Raw genomic sequence first — 3,878 nt, forward strand, 5'->3', positions numbered from 1 at the left:
TGAGCTCATTGGTCCAGTAGCAGTCCCATGACTCCCTCTGCACCCGCCCTTCTAATCAACTTATAAGAATTTCATTTCCTATGATAGATCCCTTTCTGCTTGCAGTGCCTGTTTCCTACGCTAAACTCTGGCTGATACAGCATGCTCAAAGGCAAGGAGATATAAAAAACATCTTGTGGTCAGGGAATGACTCACTGCTAAGTATGTTAGAGCCAAAGATGGACAGTGGTAGAGAAAACGGATGGAAGAATAAGGTTTGCAAAGATTGTAAAGAGTTTTTCAGTTCTGTTTCTTGCAAACACTTGGCTTCTGGCAGATTGTCATTAGATGTTTGTTATATGGAATTGTATTTAAAATCTTTAGAGTATGGCCTTTTTCCTATAGGTAATCGAGTCGGTGGGGTGAAGAAGTATTGAACATTTTACTTAAAGAAGTAGCATGATGAGATTTGTGCTTCTTCTTTATAATTCTCTATGGGTTACCCACAGAAAATGGGAAGGAGGTAGAAGTGGCTAAAGACAGAATCTATCACAGATTTTTCTGTAGCTTATGATGCTACTGAAAAAGCAGTTTACAAATTTGGTCACATTTTATGCTAAGTTTATTATGTGATTTTACAAAAAGTAACTAAAAACATTAATATCACACTGGGTAATATTGAGAATCTGATAAAATTTTAAAATATTAATCAAGTTTACATAAGTTTAAAACTATGAGGCAGAGGAAATTGTAAACTGTGTTGGCTTTATCGTCACACAGTGGCACCAATTTAGCAGGCAAACAGACATGTCTTCCACCTATGTTTAGTCAGTATTGTGTGAATTTATTTATGGGTTTCTGTCTTTGAGTGATTTTGAGATATTGGGCTGTATTTTACCACACAATGTTATTACAATTCAGGATTTTCAAATATCCTTTAGCACTGTCACCTGGAGGTCATTTGTAGTGGTGGCATTACTGCAGTAACTGAAAAATCTACCTTAAACTTTCAAATGGAGGTTAGAGGTGAGGAAATGCCAGAATGAATTTATTTAGAAAAGCAAACTTTAAGATATTAGACAAAGATTGAGAAAATAAAAAGCAACTTTTAAGCAAAAATGTGTTAAAATTGGTGGAAAGCTATAACATCCTCCAATGTTATATTGTAAATATAACTTATTTACAATATATTATATTATATTATTATATTATATTGTAAATATTATATTATATTGTAAATATTTTCTTATTATATTTTAAATATATATTATAATATATAATTATATATTATATTGTATACATTATATTATAAATTATATACAATTTTATATTGTACATATTTTTATATTTATATAAAATATATATTATTATATTGTAAATATTTTCTTATATGTCTGTGTGACAGGAAAACACTGTGTTCTTTATTAACCCATTTAATATAGCAATATAAAAAGATTCTTCTGGCAATATAGAAAGATTCTATTTCCCACCCTCCTTTCTAGTTAGGTTGGGGCCATGTGATGTACACAGCTACTAGGCTTGTACCTTCAAGTAAAACACCATATACAGTGTTGTACATTTTACCTTCATTTTCTGCCTTCTCCCCCAACTTTTTTTTTTTTTCCCAAAAGACCACATGTTGAAGCTAGAGATACTAGCTAGAAAGACCCTGAATTTCTGAGTCACCGCATGGAGGCAAGCTTCTCTTCAACAAATTTCACCCCCTACCACATATACATCAATCCACATTAGAATGTGATATAAATTGGAAATTGACTTCAATATTGTTCAGTTGCTGAGATTTTGACTGTTACAGAATTAAGCCTACTTTGGATTTAAAGTACCACTCTGTCTCATTAACATCTGTGTGCTCCCTGAGGTCAGAGGTACTGCTATTTAACTCTATCACATTTTCTTCATTAAATCTGGGACAATGCTTAGCATATAGTAAGTACTTCATGTATGAAGAACAAATGAATGAATGAGTATTCTAGGCAAGAGATAATTAGCACCTATAACTAATGCAATGGCAGAAGGCAGTTTAAGGGTAAATAAAGATGTCTTCAACTTAAAAAATATTTTAAAAGAGAATATTTACTTTTTATAATATTTAAAATTATAAAATACTTTTAAAATATATTTAAGATAATATTCTTTAGAAAACAAACCATATATTTTTAAATATAAGACTTTTAAATACATAGTAAATATAGTGTCAGTTTTCACACAACTTCTTTTTAACTTTTTTCCTGAATAAATCCAGAATTGTTTTGAAATAAAAAGTAATGTGTCATGAAATTTATTTTCATGCATAACTTTTGCAATTAGTTGAATTAATTTTAAATCATGATGCCATTTGTTGTAACCTAATCACTTCACAGCTGTATGGTCTTAAATTCTTTTTCTTACATCAATAGACTTTAATTTTTTGAGTTTTAAGTTTGCAGAAAGTAAACTTAAAGCTTTCTGTAAAATTTCTTATGAGATGAGAATCTAACTAATGCCTGATGATCTGAGGTGGAACAGTTTTATCCCAAACCATCTCCCTCCCAACCCCACCCCAGGTCCATGGAAAGATTGTCTTCCACAAAATCAGTCCCTGGTGCCAGCAAGGTTGGGTACTGCTAGTGTGGTACATTTGTCATAATTAATGAACCATTTTTGATCCATTGTTACTAATTAAAGGCCACAGTGTACATTAGGGTTCACTCTTCGTGTTGTAGAGCGTGTTGTGTCATAACTGTATAATGACAAGTTTCCATCATTACAGAATTATGCAGAATAGTTTCATTGCTCTGTTTATCCACTCATTCCTCCTTTTCCCTGAAGCTCTGGTGACCACTGTCTCCATAGTTTTGCATTTTCTATCATGCCATATGTTGGACTTATGCATTATGCAGCCTTTTCAGATTGGCTTCTTTTATTTAGCAATATGCATCTGAGGTTCTTTCAGGCTTTTTCATGGCTTAATAGTTCATTTCTTTTTATTGTTGAATAATAGTCCATTGAATGGGTGTATCACCATTTATTAATCCACTCACATGTTGAAGGACATCTTGGTTGCTTCCATGTTTTAGCATTTATGAATAAAGCTGCTATAAATATTCATTGCAGGATTTTGTATAGACATAGTTATCAATTCATTTGGGTAAATGCCAAAGAGTGCAATTTTTAGATCATACATATAAGTATGTTTACTTTTAGAAGAAACTCGCAAACTGATTTCAAAAGCGGCTGTACCATTTTGCATTTCCAATAGCAACGAATGGGAGTTCCTATTGCTTCACCTCGGCACTCGGTGTTGTCAGTGCTTTCGATTTTAGCCATTTTATTATAGGGGTGTGTGGTGCTCCTTCTTAAGTATTTATCTCATGGTACTATTCTGTCATTTGTTTTTAGGCAAAGGTCTTCCTTCTTACTTATGAAAAGTGGAAGAAAATAGTAGAGAATTGAGGTTTACATTGGAGAATCCGAGACTAATGTATTTGAGTCTTAGATCACCCTTGAATCTTAGACTTGACTTTGATTTATGCACCAAGAGGAGATTTCAGATGAAGATTATATCCCTAAGAATCAGAATTCTGTGCAATTTACTTCATCTTCCCTCTCTAGAATTTTCTGGCTGGCATCCCAGGGCAGGTCCAACTGCTGTGATGAGTGAATGAAATGACATGGTGCCCCTGAAGAAATGAGAGATGGTCCCAACCCTCGTAATGGTCCCTGTCTTTGTCTTCATAGTAGTTATACCCCTCCTTATGAATTTAAGCTTGTTATAAAATGAACAAGCAGACAACTGACATGAGCAGCTGGTATAAAATTCCTTTAGAAGCATTGAATCTTTTACCCTTCTCCCTACAGTTATGAAATCTGACAGACAGATAACATAATAGTCATAGAAT

The sequence above is a fragment of the Homo sapiens genome, chromosome 4 (assembly GCF_000001405.40).
Source record: "Homo sapiens chromosome 4, GRCh38.p14 Primary Assembly".
Lineage (NCBI taxonomy): Eukaryota > Metazoa > Chordata > Mammalia > Primates > Hominidae > Homo > Homo sapiens.